This window comes from Homo sapiens, chromosome 10, assembly GCF_000001405.40.
Source record: "Homo sapiens chromosome 10, GRCh38.p14 Primary Assembly".
NCBI classification, from domain to species: domain Eukaryota; kingdom Metazoa; phylum Chordata; class Mammalia; order Primates; family Hominidae; genus Homo; species Homo sapiens.
In genome coordinates this window covers 37,845,070-37,866,328 of record NC_000010.11, presented here as the reverse complement: position 1 = coordinate 37,866,328, position 21,259 = coordinate 37,845,070, and the positions used below count along the sequence as shown (strand labels likewise).

At 41.6% G+C, this 21,259-nt stretch overlaps 1 protein-coding gene and 1 long non-coding RNA gene across 72 annotated transcripts in view, besides 4 other annotated features; one reads left to right on the top strand and one right to left on the bottom strand.

Moving 5' to 3' along the window:
- Positions 1-5,662: 5,662 nt before the first annotated feature.
- ZNF248-AS1 (ZNF248 antisense RNA 1) lies at positions 5,663-8,580 on the bottom strand. Of its 2 annotated transcripts, none has more exons than NR_186560.1 (2): positions 7,797-8,580; positions 5,663-7,251 (listed from the first exon to the last, which is right to left on the bottom strand). It is a non-coding gene; the product is annotated as a ZNF248 antisense RNA 1 (long non-coding RNA). The 2 variants fall into 2 exon arrangements; NR_186559.1 differs by having other exon boundaries at positions 7,828-8,580.
- The window catches only part of ZNF248 (zinc finger protein 248), a 99,566-nt gene continuing 86,532 nt past the window's right edge, over positions 8,226-21,259 (top strand). For 13 of the 70 annotated variants that reach the window (NR_148004.2, NR_147998.2, NR_148006.2 and 10 more), the window contains exons 1-2: positions 8,719-9,144; positions 9,992-10,033. Coding sequence is in view for 29 of the 70 variants with exons in the window: in NM_001352476.2 (NP_001339405.1) it covers positions 10,019-10,033 (15 nt within the window). In the remaining 41 variants the exon portion in view is untranslated. Of the gene's footprint in view, positions 10,034-12,626; positions 13,033-21,259 lie in introns of all 70 variants that reach the window. The other 57 variants (XR_001747156.2, NR_148007.2, NR_148000.2 and 54 more) reach the window with 23 other exon arrangements.
- Positions 8,227-8,776: a silencer, noted in NCBI's record as "silent region_2309". NCBI's record gives its function as "represses an Ori minimal core promoter by ATAC-STARR-seq in GM12878 lymphoblastoid cells {active_cell/tissue: GM12878}" and the evidence as "EXISTENCE:reporter gene assay evidence [ECO:0000049][PMID:35858748]".
- Positions 8,227-8,849: a biological region, named in NCBI's record as "ReSE screen-validated silencer GRCh37_chr10:38146408-38146784".
- Positions 8,473-8,849: a silencer, noted in NCBI's record as "fragment chr10:38146408-38146784 (GRCh37/hg19 assembly coordinates)". NCBI's record gives its function as "represses an EF-1alpha promoter that drives an FKBP-Casp9 reporter gene in an ReSE screen in phorbol 12-myristate 13-acetate-treated (for megakaryocytic differentiation) K562 erythroleukemia cells {active_cell/tissue: K562(+PMA)}" and the evidence as "EXISTENCE:reporter gene assay evidence [ECO:0000049][PMID:32094911]".
- Positions 9,167-9,226: an enhancer, noted in NCBI's record as "active region_3270". NCBI's record gives its function as "activates an Ori minimal core promoter by ATAC-STARR-seq in GM12878 lymphoblastoid cells {active_cell/tissue: GM12878}" and the evidence as "EXISTENCE:reporter gene assay evidence [ECO:0000049][PMID:35858748]".

The following is a 21,259-nucleotide window of genomic DNA, read 5'->3' as shown; positions in this document are numbered from 1 at the left end:
ACATGGATCTTGTTCCTCAAGATGTCTTATTTCACATGAAAGGGTCGTGATTGAGCAATCTAGGGGGTACGTGACAGGGGCTTCATGCACCGGTAGTCAGAGTGAAACAGAACAGAGCAGGGAGTTTCACAGTGTTCTTCCACACAATGTCTGGAATCTATGGATAACATCGGTTGCTAAGTCATGAGTTGATTTTTAACTACTTGGTTTAGGCCAGGCAGGCCCAGGCCTGGTTTCAGGTCTGGTTTTGGGTCTGGTGCCTGGCGCCGGGCCGCCTGCCTTTGGTTTCACTTCCTTGTTTTTTTCTTAAAACAGGTACTGAGTATAAAACAATATAAAACAATATGAGAGGGTCTCTCTCTCTCTTCCCTCACCATGATCCAATCACTTCCCAATAGGCCCCACTTCCAACATTCGGGGTTACAATTCAACAGGAGATTTGGTGGGGACACAGATCCAAACCATATTCCCAGTCAAAAGTATATTGCGAAAAATAAAAGAAATGAAGATATTTAAAATATCACATAATATACCATTATGACATCTAAGACTGGAAATCATTTTAAAAGTTATATGAAAAGCTTAATTTAAATACTAGGAAATATTCAAGCTTGATGTAGATGTGGGAAAAAATGTTTACTTCTATCAAATTGTATTAAGTTGTGTAAACTTTCTAGAAGCTTCTTGGTGTCATACTTCAAAATGAGAATATTCTTTAGCAATCTTACAGTTAAAATAATCCCAATAAAATAATTGTCAAGTGATTCTATACATTAGTCAGTTGTCAGAGAAAAGGCTTACATAAATATGAAGGCTTCCTTGGTTCAAAAATCTGCAGGGTAGGCCAGCAGGGAAGAGTTGCAGTCTGAGTCACCGTGCAGTCCACTGGCAGAATGCTCTCTTGCTTAGGGGAGGTCAGTCTTTGTTAATCTTTTCTATTCAACGTTCACCAATTTAAATGTTAATTTTATCCAAAAACACCTTCACAGAAACATCCAGACTAATGTTGACCAACTATCTGAACACTGTAGTCTAACGAAATTAATACATAAAATTAACCATCACATATACCTTGCAAATGAGTTCATAACAACAAACAATTGAAAGCAATGCAAAGACAAATTATGATAGAGCAGTAGATCACCATTAAAAGTATGGATGTGGATGTACTAACTCACAGTTGCGGGTGGTTTTCCACAGCATGTTTTAAAATCAAAATTGTAAGTTCAAACAAGAATATGTAAGGCAGGCTGGGTGCAGTGGCTCACACCTGTAATCCCAGCACTTTGGGAGGCTGAGGTGGGCCGATCATGAGGTCAGGAGTTCTAGACTAGACTGGCCAACATGGTGAAACCCCGTCTCTACTAAAAATACAAAAAATTAGCCAGGTGTTATGGTGTGTGCCTGTAATCCCAGCTACTTGGGAGGCTGAGGCAGGAAAATTGCTTGAACCTGGGAGGTGGAGGTTGCAGTGAGCCAAGATCGCGCCATTGCACTCCAGCCTGGGTGACAGAGCGAGACTCTGTCTCAAAAAAAAAAAAAAGAAAAAAAAAAGACTAGGTGTGGTGGCTCATGCCTGTAATCCCAGCACTTTGGGAGGCCGAGGTGGGCGGATCACCTGAAGTCAGGAGTTCAAGGCCAGCCTGACCAACATGGTGAAACCCCGTCTCTACTAAAAATACAAAAATTAGCCAGACATGATGGTGCACACCTGTAATCCCAGCTACTTGGTAGGCTGAGGCAGGAGAATCGCTTGAACCCAGGAGGTGGAGGTTGCAGTGAGCCGATATTACACCACTGCATTCCAGCCTAGGGGGCAGAGCGAGACTCCATGTCAAAAAAAAAAAAAAGTAGCCATGAAGCTCCTTTGAGACTTTGCTTAGAAATTTTAAGTTCAGGAGTTCGAGACCAGCCTGGCCAGCCTGGCCAACATGGCGAAACCCCGTTTCTACTAAAAATACAAAAAATTAGCCAGGTATGGTGGCGGCTGCCTGTAATCCCAGCTACTTGGGAAGCTGAGGGAGGAGAATCACTTGAACATGGGAAACGGAGGTTGCAGTGAGCCAATATCATGCCACTGTACTCCAGCCTGGGCAACAAGAGCAAAACTCCAACTCCAGAAAAAAAAGAAATTTCTTCCACCAGATATCCTAGTTTATTACTCTAAAATTCTGCCTTTCATAAAGGCCTTAGGCACAAACACAATTCAGTCAAATTCTTTGCCACTTTGTAACAGGATAGCCTTTGCTCCAGTTTCTAATAAGATATTCTTCATTACTGTCTGATACCTCATCATAAAGGCCTTTACCATCCATATTTCTAACAGCATTCTGGTCATGAACATTTAAGTAATCTCTAGGAAGACTCAGACTTTCTGTGTATCTATTCTTACATTCTGCGCCCTCACCAGAATTACCCTTAATGTTCGTTTCATAGCAACATAGACTTTTCTAACCTCTCTGCCAATTCTTCTGTCTACCCACTACCCACTTCCGAAGCTGCTTCCACATATTTTGGTATTTGTTATAGCAACACCCCACTCTCTAGCACCAAATATTCTGTCTTAGTACATTTCATACTTCTATAACATAATACCACAGACTTGGTGTATTGCACTGTTCTTGCATTGCAATACATAAATACCTGAGACTGGATAATTTATAAGAAAAGAGATTTCATTGGCCCACAGTTCTCCAGGGCTTTACAGGAAGCATAGTACCTGCATCTGCTTCTAAGGAAATCTCAGGAAACTTACAATCATGGCAGAAGGTGAAGTGGGAATAGGCATGTCACATGGTGAAAGCAGGAGCAAAAGAGAGAGAGTTGAGGGAGAGGTACCACACACTCTTACACAGCCGGATGTCATGAGAGCTCACTCATTATTGCAAGAACAGCACCAAACCATGAGAGGTCCGCCCCCCATGACCCCAACATATCCCACCAGGACCCACCTCCAACAATGGGGATTATATTTCAATGTGAGATTTGGGTGGGGACAAATATCCAAACTACATCACTGGGTAATTTATAATGAACAGAAATTTATGTGGCTCATGGTTCTGGATACTGGGAAGTCCAAGATCAAGGGGCTGCATCTTGTGAGGGCCTTCTTGCTGCAACATAACATTGCAGAATAAGCACATGGTGAGACAGGAAAGGAGGCTGAACTCATCTTTTTGAAAGGAACCTACTACCAAGTTAATGGTCTTAATCCAGTCATGAGGGCCCTGCCTCTAATTATCTATAATAGGTCCCATCTCTCAATACTGTTGCATTGGAGATGAAGTTTCCAACACATGAGCTTTGGAGAACACATCCAAACTGTAGCACATAGATCAACGGAATAAATAGAAAGCACAGGAATAAACCCGCACAAATGTGGTCATTTGATTTTTGACACAGGTGCAAAGACAATTCAGTAGAGAAAGGATAGTCTTTTTAACAAATGGTACTGGAACATTTAAACATACATATGCAGGCTGGGCGCGGTGGCTCATGCCTGTAATCCCAGCACTTTGGGAGGCCGAGGCAGGCGGATCATGAGGTCAGGGGTTCAAGATAAGCCTGGCCAAAATGGTGAAACCCCGTCTCTACCAAAAATACAAAACTTAGCTGGGTGTGGTGGCATGCGCCTGTAATCCCAGCTACTCCGGAGGCTGAGACAGGAGAATCGCTTAAACCCGGGAGGTGGAGGTTGCAGTGAGCCGAGATCGCACCACTGCACTCCTGGGTGACAAGAGTGAAACTCTGTCTCAGAAAAAAAAAAAAAAAAAAAGAAAGAAAGAAAAGAAAAATACACATGCAAAGAAACAAGCAAACAAGAATATTGACATATTTCAATGTCGTAAAAAATTATCTCAAAATGGATTATAGGCTTAAATACACTTAAAATTCTACAACTTATAGATAAATATGTAGGAGAAAGTCTTTGTGGCCTTGATTAGGCAAAGAGTTTTTAAATTGTATACAAACATCACAATTTATAAAAAAAATTACTAAATTGGACTTTATTAAAATTGAAACTTCTTGCTCTGTGAGGAGATACTGTGTAGAGAAAAAAAGGGAATGAAGGTTGGGTGCAGTGGCTCACACCTGTAATCCCAGTACTTTGGGAGGCTGAGGCGGGTGGATCACCTGAGGTCAGGAGTTTGAGACCAGCCTGGCCAATATGGTGAAATTCCGTCCCTACTAAAAGTACAAAAATTAGCCAGGCATGGTCGCAGGTGCCTGTAATCCCAGCTACTCACGAGGCTGAGGCAGGAGAACAGCTTGAACCCGGGAGGCGGAGGTTTGCAGTAGGACGAGGTTGCGCCACTGCACTCTAGCCTGGGTGATGACAGTGAGATTCTGTCTCAACAACAACAACAATAACAACAACGACAACAAAATGCAACCATTTGTCTTTTACCTACCTTTGACGTGGAAGCACCCTCCCTGCTTTCAGTTGTCCCGCTTTTGCCGCCTTTTTGGACAGAACCAATGTTCATTTTACATATGTTAATTGATGTCTCATGTTTCCTTGAAATGTATAAAACCAAGCTGTGCTCCGACCATCTTGGGCACATGTCAGGACCTTCTGAGGCTGTGTCACAGGCCTGCATCCTCAACCTTGGCAAAACAAACTTTCTTTTTTTTTTTTAAGACAGAGTGTCAGGCTGGTCTTGAACTCCTGACCTCATGATCCACCCGCCTTGGCTTCCCAAAGTGCTGGGATTACAGGCGTGAGCCATAGCGCCCGGCCGCAAACAAACTTTCTAATAACTGAGACCTGTCTCAAGTTTTCAGAGTTCACACAACAAATCACCATTTGGAACACCACAGTAGTAATGGTTGCAGCCAAGATCCACCAATGATAACTAAAATCAGTAGAAAAGTAGAAATAGGGTATTTGCATAGTCTCAAAGAATCTCTCCCTGAATTTACTAATCAGTGTGGTAATTTAAAAATATAACCACAAATTTAAAATGGAGCTTATTTCCTTTCCCCTTGAGTGTGGGCTGGACATGTAGACCCACTTCTGTATATAGACTGGAAAGGGAAAAATAGGGAGAAACCTATCAGACACCACCTTAACCAAGTGTTAAAAGACAAATTTTAGAAAATTAAGTTTAGCCGAGTTCATTTCAGCAAAGAAAGATTCTTGAATCAGACAATACTCAGAACTAGAAGAGGTTCAGAGAATTCTATAAAGTGGGCAGGGAGTATTTACAGACAGAAAACAGAAGTGCTCTACAGAAACAGCTTGACTGGTTACAGCTCAACTTTGGCCTTATTTGGAAATGGTCTGATTAGTTGGCAGCCTGTAACTGGCTTTAGCTCAGCTTCTGTAACTGGCTGACTCAGCCAGCTATAAAAGTTTAACAAGCTATGCTTTGTTTGTTTACATACCAAGGTAGGTTGCAGTCCTTACATCGGCCCTAAAGGTAGGGAGGCAGCCTCAGGACAAATTTCAGTTAATTTAATACATGTAATCATGGTCAATTAACCAGTAAAAAGTCATGTTGATATCATGCCATCTGATATCACACTATGAGAAAGCCACAACCTGTTTGTGGGGTGCTTCCTAAAAACTCACAACCTCAGTCTAATCAGGAGAATGTTACCATGTGGGTTCTTCTTGGCTGCTGCCTAGAAAAAAGCCAATAAACTGAGAACGACAGGATTGCAGCAGAAAAAGAGTTTAATAATTGCAGGGTGGCCAAGCAAGTATAAGAGATAATTCTCAAATCTGCCTTCCTGAGAATTTGGAGGCTACAGTCTTTCAAGGATGAAAAACTTTGAACCTCTCTAGCCTCCTGCCCATCAGGAGGCTAGAGAATGGGGAATGGTGATTGGCTGGGTCAGGGATGAAATCATAGGGCTGTTGAAACTGTCTTCTTGTGTTGAATCGGTTCTTGAAGGGGGTCACAGGATCAACTGAGTCCATTTTTTGCTATGGGTTACTGGTCCCAGTGGCACCAGTTGGTCCATCAGAATGTAAAGTCTGAAAAATAACTCAAACACTAGTTTTAGGTTTTACAATAGTGACATTATCTATAGTGACAATTGGAGATGTTATAAATCTTGTGACCACTGGCTATGTGACTCTGGAGTAGTAAGCAGTTACAAAAAGGCAGATTATAAAAGCAAAAACTGGTTAGAGTTTATGCCTGCATCTTACAGAATTCAGGTTCCTACCAAAATTCTAAACTTGTGGACTTCCACTAGTTTTACAAAAACGGTTTTTGTCCCCAAACAAGGAGGGGGTTAGTTTCAGGAAGGGATCATTATCGTTCTTGTTTTAAAGTTAAACTATAGGCTGGGTGTGGTTGCTCATGCCTGTAATCCCAAGCACTTTGGGAAGCCAAGGTGGGAGGACTGAAGTCAAGAGAGCGTGCTTTCATCTTCATAGCAAGGTCATGAAAGACAAGGTAGGAGCAAGAAACTATTACAAACTGGCCAAGGCTAAGACATGACAAGTAAATGTACTGTGATACTGAGAGACAGGACTAGCTGGATTTCCTAGGCCGACTAAGAATCCCTAAGCTTAGCTGAGAAGTTGACTGCATCCACATTTAAACAAGGGGCTTGCACTTAGCTCACATCCGACCAATCAGGTAGTAAAGAGAACTAACTAAAATGCTAATTAGGCAAAAACAGTAGGTAAAGAAATAGCCAATCATCTATTGCCTAAGAGCACAGCGGGAGGGACAATGATCGGGATAGAAACCCAGGCATTGGAGCCGGCAACAGCTACCCACTTTGGGTCCCCTCCCTTTGCATGGGAGCTGTGTTTTCATTCTATTAAATCTTGCAACTGCACTCTCTTCTGGTCCGTGTTTGTTACGGCTTGAGCTGAGCTTTCGCTCGCTGTCCACCGCTGCTGTTTGCGGCCTTCGCAGACCCGCCGCTGACTTCCATCCCTCCGGATCTGGCAGGGTGTCCGCTGTGCTCCTGATCCAGCGAGGTGCCCATTGCTGCTCCCAAGTTGGGCTAAAGGCTTGCCATTGTTCCTGCACAGCTAAGTCCCAGGTTGGTCCTAATCGAGCTGAACACTAGTCACTGGGTTCCACAGTTCTCTTCCGTGACCCACGGCTTCTAATTGAGCTATAACACTCACCACATAGCCCAAAATTCCATTCCTTGTAATCCATGAGGCCAAGAACCCCAGGTCAGAGAACATGAGGCTTGCCCCCATCTCGGAAGCAGCCCACCACCATCTTGGGAGCTCTGGGAGCAAGGACCCCCGGTGACAATATCCTTGATTGGTTGCTGGAACAGAAAAAGGGCATTAGTGGAAGAACTGCTTAAGTCTGAATAAACTCTGCAGTTCAGTTAATAGTACTTGTACCTATGTTATTTTCTTAGTTTTGATAAATATACCATGGTCATGTAAAATACTAACACTAGTGGAATCTGGGTGAAAGGCATATAGGAACTATTTTGCAACTCTTCTGTAAATCTGAAATTATGAGCAAATGAAAAGTTTAAAAAAGTGGACAATGACCCAGGAGTTGATTTTTTAAATGAAAAGTTGTAACACACGCACATGCTCATAGTGTGCTGAAAATGCCAGATGTGCACGTAAAAGAATGTACGTGTAGTGTAGTTCTGGGTAAAGTATGGTTGGTTTTGGGAAATGAGTGCGTGCTTTCTTCTTCAAATTTGTTACTCAAACGGCTTTTTTTTTTTTAAACATATAAACAATTTTATGTTTGGGTCTTGAATTGCTAGCTTCTGTTTTTCCTTATTCCAGAGAATAACCATACTGGTCACAGATTTTAGTTTTCTCTTCCAGTCTTTCAGTTAAACGTTACCATGCATGATCGTGAATGAATTCAAGCACACCTTTCCTTCTCTTGGCTTGTGTCTAACAGGCACATTGATTTGATCCACAACCTCTGGGGACACTGACAGAATCCTGGTTCCAAGCAGGAGTGGGTAACTGAGACAGTAATCTCTCAACCCACTATACAAGGCTGTTTTGCAGGAGAGCCTTATGATGACCAGCATGATATATAATTGTGAGAAATATACTGAACAATTTATGTGTCAGACACCGGTTTAAATGCTTTTACAACGTAAGCGCCTCCAATTCTCATAAAACCCCTGCTAGGTAGGCACTATCAGCCTCATTTTACAACTGAGGGTTGCGGCCAGAGCTGACAGGCACCGTCTAGCGCCGCTTCCAAGCCCCGCATCGCATCCACCAGCCTAACTCGGGCGCTCGGCCTCTCCCTCTGCGCATGTGCATCCCCGCCTCCCGCTCCAGGCGAGTCCTTCCCTGGACTCCAGTCCCTTGTGGGAAACAATCCCTCGCCTCCGGAGGCGGCGAGGAGCGGCGGGTGAGCCCCGGAGCACTGGGCGAGGGCCAGGGGGTCCCCGCGCTGCCCTGAAGGCGGGCGGGCGGCGGCTAGACCTCGGCGGTGGGGAGGGACCCCTGGCGCCTGCGGCGACGGTGGGACGAGGGCGTCTCTGTCAGAAGGGGATGAGGTCTGGCGTGGGAACGCGAGTTCCGGGGCTCCCGGGGGTCCGTATGCGTCCAGTCCCTGCGCCTGGCGCTCAGCGAAGTCCTGTAGCACGGGGTAGGCAATGCGCACTGGCCCGAAGGGGAGGGAACTGGCTGCGGGGAGGGGACAGCACGCGCGTGCGTAGCGTGTGACGTTTGTTGTGCGCGTGCGCATGGCGTTTGATGTGTGCGTGTGCGCTTTTTGTGCCCTGAGCCCGCGGGGAGGAGGCGGGGCTGCGGGGGAGAGCGACTGCGCCAGGTCCGCGACAAATGAATTAGACACAATTATCCACGGGAGACTCGGTTTTCCTCTCTGTAAATTACGGATATTAGGAATACTTGCCGCCTGGGGTTGTTTTGAGCACTTTCATTGTTTAGGTGCTGTATTTATTGGGTGTGCGTTCCCTGGGAGAGCCCGAGGGAGACGGCTCCTGCACCGGCCCCAAGGGCCTCTCTGCCCGTGGAGTGCAGGAGCGAAGGGGCTGGCCTAGCTGACCACCAGGGCCCCTGCTGGCTCTGACCGCCCTCCTATCCCAAGTAATTATTTACACGTTTCGCGTTCGCTTATGTATTATGTGTAATCATGGCACAGTATCCTGAAGCCGTCGGAGTCTGTGTGCTGGTGCAAGGTCTGGGACAAATTTAAGAAGAGAGAGGTGAGCTGGAGCTGAGGGGTGGGCGCGCAGGCTAACAGGAACGTCACCTCTGGAGAGTCTGAGGGCAGGGACGGGTGAAAGGCTCACGGCCACAGCGAAAGAAATGCTGTTATCACCCCTCCGCGAACACCGGGCACATCCAGATGAGCTGCTGAGCTTCCTCCTCTCTTGGCCTGATATCCCCGCCGGATGGTAGTGCAGTCAGGTCATACTTGGGTTATCTGTTTTGACCTTATTTGAAAGATGGAAAAACAAAATTGAGTTTGAGGAGGTGAGTAGTTCAGATCTTGTCATTCCTTAGAGGCAGAACTGAGATTAGAAGTCAAGTCTGCAGTTTCCCGAGCCACTGCTGCCCATTTTGTTACTCTATATCACAGTTTCTCATTAAAAGATCCTTTTGAGGAATTGTTAGCAAGTTAGAACAAACATTTTTAAACTTGCATTTAACATCCTATCCCTTTTTTTAGAGGTCTTTTGCATTATCTAACCTCAGGGCATTAATGGTGTTAACAGGTAAACAGATAAACAATATGGCCTCAGTTTTTTTTTTTCCCTACAAGGAATTTTGACAAACCCATAGTGTTTTTTCCTTCAGATTACTGTTAACTTGTTAAACTCATCTTTTCATGTTTTTAATTTTTCTGTGTCACAGAACCTAAATTGGTAATAAATCAATAAGAAATATTTACATTCACTCAGTGAAAAGTGTCATGTCTGAGCTCAGCATATATCGGAGCCACACATGGACACGTAAGTATCTTGTGTGTGGACCTGTATAGGCAGGTGAATCTCCGAACTGCAAGGCCGGCGAAGGCTCTCCTGACATTCTTCCTTTCTAATCCTTCAGCTCTCCTTCCTCCACTAAGAGCGGAAAATGAACAAATCCCAGGTGAGATTCTTGTTTCTTTATTCCCAGTTTGTTTAAAAATGGATTTCTGAAGTTTATAAGGGTTTATGTTTTGAAAATGGAAAAATAGAAATAGGCAAAAATTGACATTAAGGGAAATAAAACTGAAGTAGCAAATCCAAAATAGTGCAGTTGGCAAATTAGATGCAGGATTTTTAATTTTGCAGAATTATCCAAGTTATTGTAATATTATCTCTAATTGTTCTAGTAACAATTCTGAAATAAATGCAGTAAATTGTCTATAAGTATTTCTTTGTAGAAACAAAGAACACAGTTACAGAGCAGAACTCAGTGCATATGCTTTTCAGGAGAACAAACGCTGAGGTTTGATGGTCCTGTTTGATCCAGGAATAAAACCTTGACGATGTGGAGGAATGGAGGGACTGCATGTCCTCAAAACAGTTTTCCCTAACTGTTTGTGTCAGCTCGTTCTTATTTCTAGGTTGAATCACTGACAGTTCCGACTTGTTTCTGTGTTTCTCATTTATGTTTCAATCTGATGAATGCAACCTTATTCCCTCACCTAAACTCACCTGAATCAGTTCTGGCAAAGGCCACCAAATCATAGTCAAGGCTAGTGCATGTTTTTGCCTTTGCATTACTTGCCTGGTCTGCTGCATATATTGTTAACCATGGTCTTTGTTTGGAGAGTCTCCTCTGTTGGTGTCTGTAATGCCACCCTCTGAGCTGTCCTTTCCTAACTTTGATTCCCTCCCTAGTCCTCATGAAGGCATCTTTTCTTTTTGCTCCAGGCATTGCTTATGCGTGCATTTCCATCCTTAGCCTACTTAGGTTCTTCTCGGTCTGTTTTTCCTGACTGGTTTCATTTTTTTTCCTTAATAAAGTGCTTTTGAATTAATAATACATTAATGTAATAATACATTACTTTTACTTTTTTAAAAGTATAAGTGATAACAAAAGATGTACATATATATTCACACTCCCTTCCTCTGTTCATGCAGTTTCTCCAGGTAGGGTGACATTTAATCATTAAAACCGAGACATTTTCACTGAGAGTGAAAGAGGTTCTATAAATAATTATGCTGAGACAACTGGCATATATTGGGACAGTCCCAGACTTACTGGAATGTATGGTCAACCTACCAAAGATGTCTATTTTTTTTCTAGTTTTTGGTTTACTTTGCCAGTGTTTCTTTATCCAGTTTAAAGAAAATATGTATGTATATTCTTATTTGCTTCCTCAGTTTACTTAAAAAGGAATCTGTTATCTCTAGGGCTTATCAAACTTATATGTGATTGTGCATTCCTGGCATCTTTTTAACATGCAGGTTCTGATTTAGTAGCTGTGGATGGGGTCCTTTATTCTGAAGTTCTGATAAACCTCCAGCTTAAGCTGATTCTGATGGTTGACTTACACACTATTTTCCATTATTCCTTTTTCACTTAACAGCATACAGATGTTTCTCTGACAGAACATGAATAGCATTTTCTCTCTTTGTCACAATTGCCTAGTAATTCAAGTCCATAGTTCATTAAACTACTTCCAGCTGTTTGCTATGACAAACCATGTGGTAATGAATAACCTTGTACATTTATAATTTTGTGTGTATATGTTTATATATTAGATGAATTCCCAGAACTTGATCAGCTTAGTGGGAATGCCTGTCCTAGAGATAGTATTATTTTGTTTTCCCATTGGCAATGCATGGGAATGCTTATTTCTTCACAGCTCCTCCCATAGAATATGTGGTTCAACTTTTGGATTTGGGGCAACCGATAGGTAAAAAGTGGTATTTCATATAGTTTGCATCTGCGATTTTCTTCACTGAGTGAGGTTGAATACGTTTTCGTGTGTCTAAGGGTGTCTTATATTTATTTTTCTATGAACTTAACTGTTAGTATCTTTTGCCTATTTTTCTTTTGGGTTGTCTGGTCTTTTTTCCCCCCCAGTGTCTTTTACCCTTGTGTATTATATGAGTTGCAAGCCATTATTTTTTGGTATATCATTTGTCTTTTGATAATTGTTCATGGTGTTTTTCCCTATGCAGAAATATTTGGTTATTTTTGTTGTCCAGTTTATTAATCTTTTCCTTATGGTTTTGGACTGATAGCATTTGGAGACATAGTTAGAAAGTCCTTCCCACTTGATTATAAAGAATCTGCCCATGTATTCTAATACTTTTATGCATTTTATGTTTAAATCTTTAATCCATTTGGAGTTTACTTGTATGTAGAAACTTAATTAAATTACTACAGTATCATTCCATTTACTCCACCCCCCGATGTGTGCTGTTGTTTTGATGCTTTCTTCTCCTTGTGTTCTGAACCCCACAAGGTATCTTTAGTATTACGACTTTAGAGAGTGGGTAGGCTTTCGTATTTACTGAAATAATTGCCCTTTACTGTGCTTTTTCTTCCCTTTTGCAATATCATGCTTCATCTACAGTTATTTGCCTTTACCCCAAAGAAGTTTTATTGTTTCTTGTGCAGATCTTTTGGTGACAGATTCGTCATTTTTTTTTGTTTAAAGATGTCTGTGTTTCTTCATTTTGAAGGATATTTTCACTAAAGACAGAATTCTGGAGTGAGAGCTTTTTTTTTCTTTTCTTTTTAGCACTTTAAAAATACCATTCCGGTGGCCGGGCACCGTGGCTCCTGCCTGTAATCCCAGCACTTTGGGAGGCCGAGGTGGGTGGATTACCTGAGGTCGGGAGTTCGCGACCAGCCTGACCAACATGGAGAAACCCCGTCTCTACTAAAAGTACAAAAAAATTAGCCGGGCATGGTGGCAGGCGCCTGTAGTCCCAGCTACTCGGGAGGCTGAGGCAGGAGAATGGAGTGAACCTGGGAGGAAGAGCTTGCAGTGAGCGGAGATTGCGCCACCACATTCCAGCCTGGGCGACAGAGCGAGACTCCGTCTCGAAAAGAAAACAAAAAACCATTCCGATGACTTCTGGATTGTTGTTGTTTTTGTCTTAAATCATCCTCCCCCTTGAAGGCAATTGATCTTTTTTCCTCTGGTTGGTTATGAGATTTTCTCTTTTCTTTTGGTTTTCAGCAATTGTTACTTAATATAACTTGGTTTGGTTTTCTCTATATTTATCCTGTAGTATTTTGGCAGGGGTTGGTTCTGAGGTATGATATCCTTGTCATTTTAAAAATTCTCAGCCTTGGCCTGGCACGGTGGCTCACGCCTGTAAATCCCAGCACTTTGGGAGGCCAAGGCGGGCAGATCACGAGGTCAAGAGATCGAGGGTGAAACCATGTTTCTAGTATAAAGTACAAAAGTTAGCTGGGTTTGGTGGCGCACATCTGTAGTCCCAGCTACTCGGGAGGCTGAGGCAGGAGAATCGCTTGAACCCAGGAGGCAGAGGTTGCAGTGAGCCGAGATCACGCAACTGCACTCCAGCCTGGCAACAGAGCGAGACTCCATCTAAAAAAAAAAATTATCTGCCTTTTCTTTTCATCAAATATTCTCTACTTTCCTTTTGGTACTGCAGTTACACCTATTAGATCTCTGAGTTCTCTAAATTAAATAAAAACACAAAATGTGTGTACTGTTTCTATATGAAATATATAATTACATATATAAATACATATATTACATATATAAATACATATTTTACATATATAACATATATAAATATATATTGTATCTATATATCTATATCTATATATAGAGAGAGATAGGGTCTTATTCTGTCACCCAGGCTGGAGTGCAGTGACAAATTAGATTCGTTTATCCACTACAGAATAGCTGAATTACCATGAAGATCTCTCCTGTTGCCCTTTTTATAGCCACACCTACCTCCATCCTGGCCCTGTCATTCCCCAACCCCAGCCAACCCCTACTCCTCCCTAAATTAATCGGCAACCTACTAATCTGTTTCTGTCCTTTCAAGAATGCTACAGAAAAGGAAACATACAACATTAACCTCTTGGGGTTAGCTTTTTTCACTCAGTACAATTCCCTGGTGTTTCATCCGGGTTGTATATGTGTCAACAGTTCATTCCTTTTTGTTATTAAGTAGTGGTCCATGGTATGGATATATCACATTTTTTTTTTTTTGAGGTGGAGTTTCACTCTTGTTACCCAGGCTGGAGTGCAATGGCAAGATCTCGGCTCACTGCAATCTCTGCCTCCCAAGTTCAAGTGATTCTCCTGCCTCAGACTCCCGAGTAGCTGGGATTACAGGCATGCACCACCACGCCCGGCTAATTTTGTATTTTTAGTAGAGACAGGGTTTCTCCATGTTGGTCAGGCTGGTCTCAAACTCCCAACCTCAGATGATCCACCCACCTCAGCCTCCCAGAGTGCTGGGAATACAGACGTGAGCCACCGCGCCCGGCTGGATATATCACAGTTTAATCATCCACCTGTTGAAGGACCTCTGGGTTAACTTCCAATTTTGGGCTATGAAAAATAAAACTGCTGTGAACATGCCATTTTATATTTCCGCTAGCCACTGTACGCATGATCCAGTTTCTCTCTATCCTTGCCATCACTTGGTGTTAGCACTGGTTTTTTTTTTTTTTTTTTTTTTTTTTGGTCATTCTGATGGGTATATAGTGATTTTTTTTTGTTATTTATTTGCATGAAAATCTTTTCATGTGTATTTTCTGCCTGTATATTCTCTTCATTGAAATAGTCCTTCGTGTCTTAGAACTGTACTGGAAGAATGGTAATTTTTTTTTTCTTGAACCCCTGTAACAAGAGATAGATTAAGAAGAGAAAAGCAAGTTTATTAACAAGTATGTTTCATATATACATGGGGGACACCCAGAGAATGAGTGTTTCACAAAGAGGTGGCTTTGAATTCCAGCTTATATGGCATCTTCATCAAAGAACAGGAAATTTTTAGAGAAACGTTAAGACAAAGGAAAGGGGCTTGGAATCTCTAAGGCTGGCAACTTGGGGGAAAGCAAATAAATGGCCGATACAGGCTAGTTTGTGAAGCTAATTAATGTAGATTCCCCTGGTACCATCTCTAGGACCATCAGTTCTCAAGTTGTCTTCAGTTGTTAACCTTTGTTCTCCTTGATAGATGGGGAGGCAAGGATACCTTTTGTCTTCGTAAATCCATGTCCTGCTTTTAGGCAGATAGAGACAGGACAGCTTTCTTGTGTCTACTTCTTGCCTTCAGCTCAACAATTCTTCATATTTTGGGGTGGCATATTTCTGGTCTCCCACATTACTATTTTAGAATTGGATTTTTTTTAATGTATTGAGTTTTAATAGTTTTTTAAATTTTCTAGATAGTAATCCTTTGTCAGATATGTGGTTTGCAAATATTTTCTCCTTGTTGGTAGCTTATCTTTTCAGGGTGTTTCACAGAGCAAAAGTTTTTCACTTTGATAAAGTCCAGTTTGTCAATATTTTGTTACGGATGATGCTTTTGTTATCAAGTCTTAAGAACTCTTGCCTAGCCCTAGGCAAAGATTTTCTCTTTTTTTTTGTCTAAAAATTATATAGTTTTATATGTTATATTTAAGTACTTCATCTATTTAGAGTTAATTTTTGTGTAAGGTATGAGGTTTAGATTGAGGCTCAGTTTTTGCCTATGGATGTACAATTGCTTGCAGCACCATTTGTTAAAAATTTTTTTTCAACAAATTTGTGAAAATTTTACTGAACTCCTTTTGTACCTTTGTCAGAAATCACTTAAGTATATTTGTGTAGGCCTATTTCTGGGTTATCTTCTATGTTCCATTGGTGTATGTGTCTGTGCCTCTGCTAATACCACGCTATCTTGATGACTGTAACCATATAGTAAGGTTTAATATTGAACACAGTGATTCCTTTTACTTTATTCTTCTTCATAGTTGCTTTAGCTATTCTTAGCACCTATGCCTTTTATATAAGTTTTAGAATAAGCTTGTCTGTGCTTATAAAAATCCTTGTTGGGAGTTTGATAGGAATTTCATCAAGATACTGATTTTAAGGGTAAGATATTTTTTGACTGACTCTGCTATTTTTTCAGCAAATATCTTTCCTTTCCCTGAAGTTAGCATTTTTTATCTTTCTTAATCAAGTCATTCATTCATTTAGCAACTATTTATGACTGTTCTGTATTACTAAATCTTGTTGAATTGCAAACGCTGTTCAAAGAGAGTTGGTACAGTTTAAATTGCTCACTTGTAATGTGACAGCTATTTAATATACAAGGAGCTTTAGGCTCCCTTAGCTGGGCATTTGGGGTAGAGGAAAACAAGCCTGAGGTGCTTTGTTAGCCATTTTTTTTTTAAGACAGAGTCTCTTACTCTGTCACCCAGGCTGGGGTGCAGTGGTGTGATCTCAGCTCATTGCAACCTCTGCCCCCCAGGTTCAAGCAATTCTCCTGCCTCAGCCTCCAGAGTAGCTGGGATTACAGGCACCTGCCACCGTGCCTGACTAAGTTTTGTATTTTTAATAGAGATGGGGTTTCACCATCTTGGCCAGGCTGGTCTTGAACTCCTGACCTTGTGATCCACATGCCTTGGCCTTCCAAAGTGTTGGGATTACAGGCGTGAACCACTGCATCCGGCCCCCTGAACTTCTTTATATTTATTTTTATTTCTCTTTTGTACTGTCTTCCATGTTCATTCTATTTCTAAAACATCTTTAAGGGTTCTTTGAAAAATTTTTTTTTTTTGAGACAGTCTCATTCTGTTGCCGAGGCTAGAGTGCAGTGGTGTGCTCTCCGTTCATTGCAAGCTCCACCTCCCGGGTTCACGCCATTCTCCTGCCTCAGCCTCCTGAGTACCTGGGACTACAGGCGCCCTCCACCACACCCGTCTAATTTTTTTTTGTATTTTTAGTAGAAACGGGGTTTCACCTTGTTAGCCAGGCTGGCCTTGAACTCCTGACTTCAGGTGATCCGCCCGCCTTGGCCTCCCAAAGTGCTGGGATTACAAGGCGTGAGCCACTGTGCCCGGCCGTTTCTTTGAAATATTTAAAAAATTTTTCACCATTTGTGAAAATCTTACAATTTAACCATGTTTTTAAATTTCTTTCCTTTTTTTTTTTTCTTTAAAGACAGGATCTCACTCTGTTACCCAGGCTGGAATACAGTGGTGTAGTAGTCAGTAGTCATAGCTGACTGCAGCCTCAAATTCCTGTGCTCAGGTGATCCGCCTTAGTCTTTCAAAGTGCTGGGATTATAGGTGTGAGCCACCATGTCTGGCCTGTTGTTAATTTCTTACTGCTCTTTCTTTCTCCCTGAAAGCTTATCATGGCAGTGTGTTCTTGGTTTATGGAATGAATAGTTTTAAAAATCTGTTTGAAGATATTAGGATTAATTTTCCATTTCTATTTCTTATATTGATTTGGTTTCTTAGCATTCATTTCTAGTCATCTTGGTGAGTATGCTTTATGCTGTTGCTTTTCCTCAAATATCTAGTAAATCTTTATTTTCCATTCATATTTAAAAGTGAAGAACTAGTTTGATCAGCACAGGTAGCTAATGTGAATTCACTCAGCTGTTGAGAAGTGTGTCCTCTATTACTGTCTCCCACAATGGAAAGGCCAATTCAAGGATTGTAGATGAATTGGTAAGGAAACATAATAGGTAAGAAATCCAGCAGGTTTCCTGCCAGAACCTAGAACATCTCCAAGCTGGTGGCTGTGCTTGAAATGGACTTCATGCCTCTGACTTCTGTTTGATCTTACCATTCCGTATCTTTCAGAAATTACTCAAAATGTTTCTTCTGCTGAGGGGCTCCTTCCCAGGAGTATTCTTTTTTTTTTTTTTGAGACGGAGTCTGTCTGGCTCTGTCACCCAGGCTGGAGTGCAGTGGTGTGATCTTGGCTCACTGCAACCTCTGCTTCCCGGGTTCAAGCGATTCTCCTGCCTCAGCCTCCCGAGTAGTTGGGATTACAGGCACTGGCCACCATGAATGGCTAATTTTTGTGTTTTTAGTAGAGACGGGGTTTCCCCATGTTGCCAGGCTGTTCTCGAACTCCTGAGCTCAGGCGATCTGTCCATCTCAGCCTCTCAAAGTGCTCAGATTATAGGCATGAGCCACTGTGCCTGGCTGTATTCTGTTTTTCTTTTTTCTTTTGAGAGGGAGTATCGTTCTGTTGCCCAGGCTGGATGTAGTGCAGTGGCGTGATGTTGACTCTCTGCAACTTCCTCCTCCTGGGTTCAAGCGATTCACCTGCCTCAGCCTCCCGAGTAGCTGGGACTGCAGGTGTGTGCCACTATGGGCAGCTAATTTTTTTTTGTATTTTAGTAGAGATGGGTTTTACCACATTGGCTAGGCTGGTCTCAAACTCCTGACCTCAGGTGATTCACCCACCTTGGCCTCCCAAAGTGCTGGGATTACAGGCGTGAGCCACTGTGCCCTGCCTCTTTTATGTTTCTTCACTGATATTTTTGGAGTTAGGATAGATAAATATCTATTTCAGGCTAGAAATACCCATTCTTCTTTTAGCTTTTTATTTTGGAAAATTGCAAACTTACACAAAAGTGAGAAAGTAATATATTAACCCCCATGTACCTACCCATTCTCAGCTTCCCCAGTTATCAGCTCAGAGTTCTCTCACTTTTACTTTGACCCATTCCTGCTGAGATTATTTTGAATCAAATTCAAGATAATTTTTTTTTGTAAACATATCAGTAAGTATCTCTGAAAGTTGAGGCCTTTTTCTTAACTTTTAATATGAAAATTTTCCAACAAAATAAACACTTGTATAATTTTTACCTAGATTCAGCAGTTAACATTTTTGCCTTATTTGCTTTATCTCTCCTCTGTATATACATTTTATTCTGAAATATGTTTGAAAATAAGTTACCCACATTATAACACTTTACCCCTAAATAACTTGGTATGAATTTCTTCAGCATAAGGACATTTACTTACCTAACCACAATACAATTATCATGCTAAGAAAATGAGCAGTAATCCACACTGTTACCTAAATCCGTTGTACTTTAAAGTTTCCCAAAATGAGATGGTGTTTTAAAATAAGAAATAACTAGGATATTAGTGGAGGAGGTTGTGGTGAGGAACTATAGCCACAAAATATGTATGTGTATATAGTAATCTTGTGGCTGAGATTGAGCCACTGTACTCCAGCCTGGGTGACAGAGGGAGACTCTGTCTCAAAAAATAAATAAATAAATAAAAATAAAAATAAAAAGTTAGCTGGGCATGGTGGCTCACACCCAGCTACTCAGGAGGCTGAGGTGGGAGGATCAGTTGATCCCAGGAAGTGGAGGTTGCAGTGAGATGAGATTGTGCCACTGCACTCCAGCTTGGGCCACAGAGTGAGTCCCTGTCTCAAACAACAGCAGCAACAACAACAAAACACCACAATACAGTTACCACACAAAATTTGAAAATTTCTTAATGTATAATCGGTGTTTCCCAGTTTTTGCATTTTTTTACATTTGTTAAATCAGAATTCAAATATGGTTGAAATGTCTTTTATCTTTAAGACTTTGTGAGGTGTATGTTTCTTCTCCATATCTTTATTTACTGTAGTGTATTTATTGAAGATTTTCCTTGTTGTGTCACTGTGGTTATGTTTAACGTGTTTCTGTGATCCCTGTATTTTCTCTAAGTAGTTGAACTTAATCCTGATTGATGCTTATGTTTTGCTAAGAATTTATCATAGATTGTGTTGTGTACTTCCATCAGGGCCACATAACATCTCATTGTCCTCTCGGTTTGTTGTTGTTTGTTTTCTTGAGTCAGGATCTTGCTGTGTGCCCTAGGCTGGAGTGCATTGGCTCAGTCATGGCTCACTCCAGCCTTGAATTCCTGGGCTCAAGTGATCCTCCTGCCTTAGCCTACTGAGTAATTGGAACTACAGGTGCATGCCACTATACCTGTCCAATTAAAAAATTTTTTTTTTGTAGAGACAGGGTCCTGCCACCAGATCCTGTTGACCAAGCCGGTCTCGAACTCCTTGGCCCAGGCAATACTCCCATTTTGGCCTCCCAAAGTGCTGGGATTGCAGGAATGAGCCACCGCACCTGGCTTCATTGTCTTTTTGTAATGTTTGAAAGTCATTGATTATTGTCTAAATTTAGTAATTCATTAAAGATTGCAAAATGGTGAAATTCGAATTCTATAATTCCTCTTTCTGTTACCAAACCAAACTTGGGTCCTCTCACCAAGCACACAGAAAAAGCTAAAACTGACATTGGGATTTGCAGCAAGAGAAATGGAGGCATTTATTGCAGGGCATTGGGCAAGGAGAATTAGGTGGTTAACGCCTAAGACCTGTGATCCCTGATGGCTTATAAGCAAGGGTTTTTAAAGGTGATGGTACATTTCAGGAAAGCAGAAGTTACAGGCAAAAATCATACATCAGTACATGAAGATTATACATTGATTTCGCCAGCTGCCCAAGGTTTGTACCAGTTTACTTTGCCAGCAGCAGTGCGTGCATGTTCTTATTCCACATATTCATCCTGAGACTTGGTATTTTATTTTTTATTTTTGCTCTTCTGTTGGGTGTGTTGTGGTACTCTTTTGTGGTTATCCTAGAAGTTACAGGGAGCATTTTTGACATATTACAATGAAATACAAACTATTCATTGTACTACCTAAACCTGTAACTTTGAAACATGTTGACTCCATTTATCCCCCTTCATTTCTAGGCTTTTCACTCCTTCCTGCCTTTTCATAGTTCTAGTTTGGGTCATTTTTCCTTTTCATGAAAATTCCCTTTGATGTTTCTTATAATGCATATCTGTTGTTTGTCATTACTCTGTTTATGATTTCCAAAATCTTAAACTTTTATTTTTGCTGTATATAGAATTCTACCTTTGAGTTTTTGTTTTTTCCTTTTACTTTAAAGTTGTCTTTTCATAATGTTTTGGGTTTTTATATGGCTGCTTTTAAAGTTCTCTTTTGATTTTGTTTTAGCTTTTGTTTATTCTTATTTAAGATCCACTGAACTCTGTGAATGTGACTTAATTTTTTTCATGAGTTTTTTTTTTTTTTTAAATCCATTCTGCCAATCTCTGCCTTTTTTTTGGAAGAATTTAACCTATTTAGAATTAAAGGTGGCCGAGCATGGTGGCTCTTGCCCGTAATCCCAGCACTTTGGAAGGCTAAGGCAGGTGAATCGCTTGAGTCCAGGAGTTCGAGACCAGCCTGACATGGCAAAACCCTGTCTCTACAAAAAATACAAAAATTAGCCCAGTGTGGTGGCACGTGCCTGGAGTCCCAGCTCCTCAGGAAGTTCAGGTGGAAGGATCGCTTGAGCCAGCCTCTGGGAGGCAGAGGTTGCAGTGAGCCTAGTTGGAGCCATTG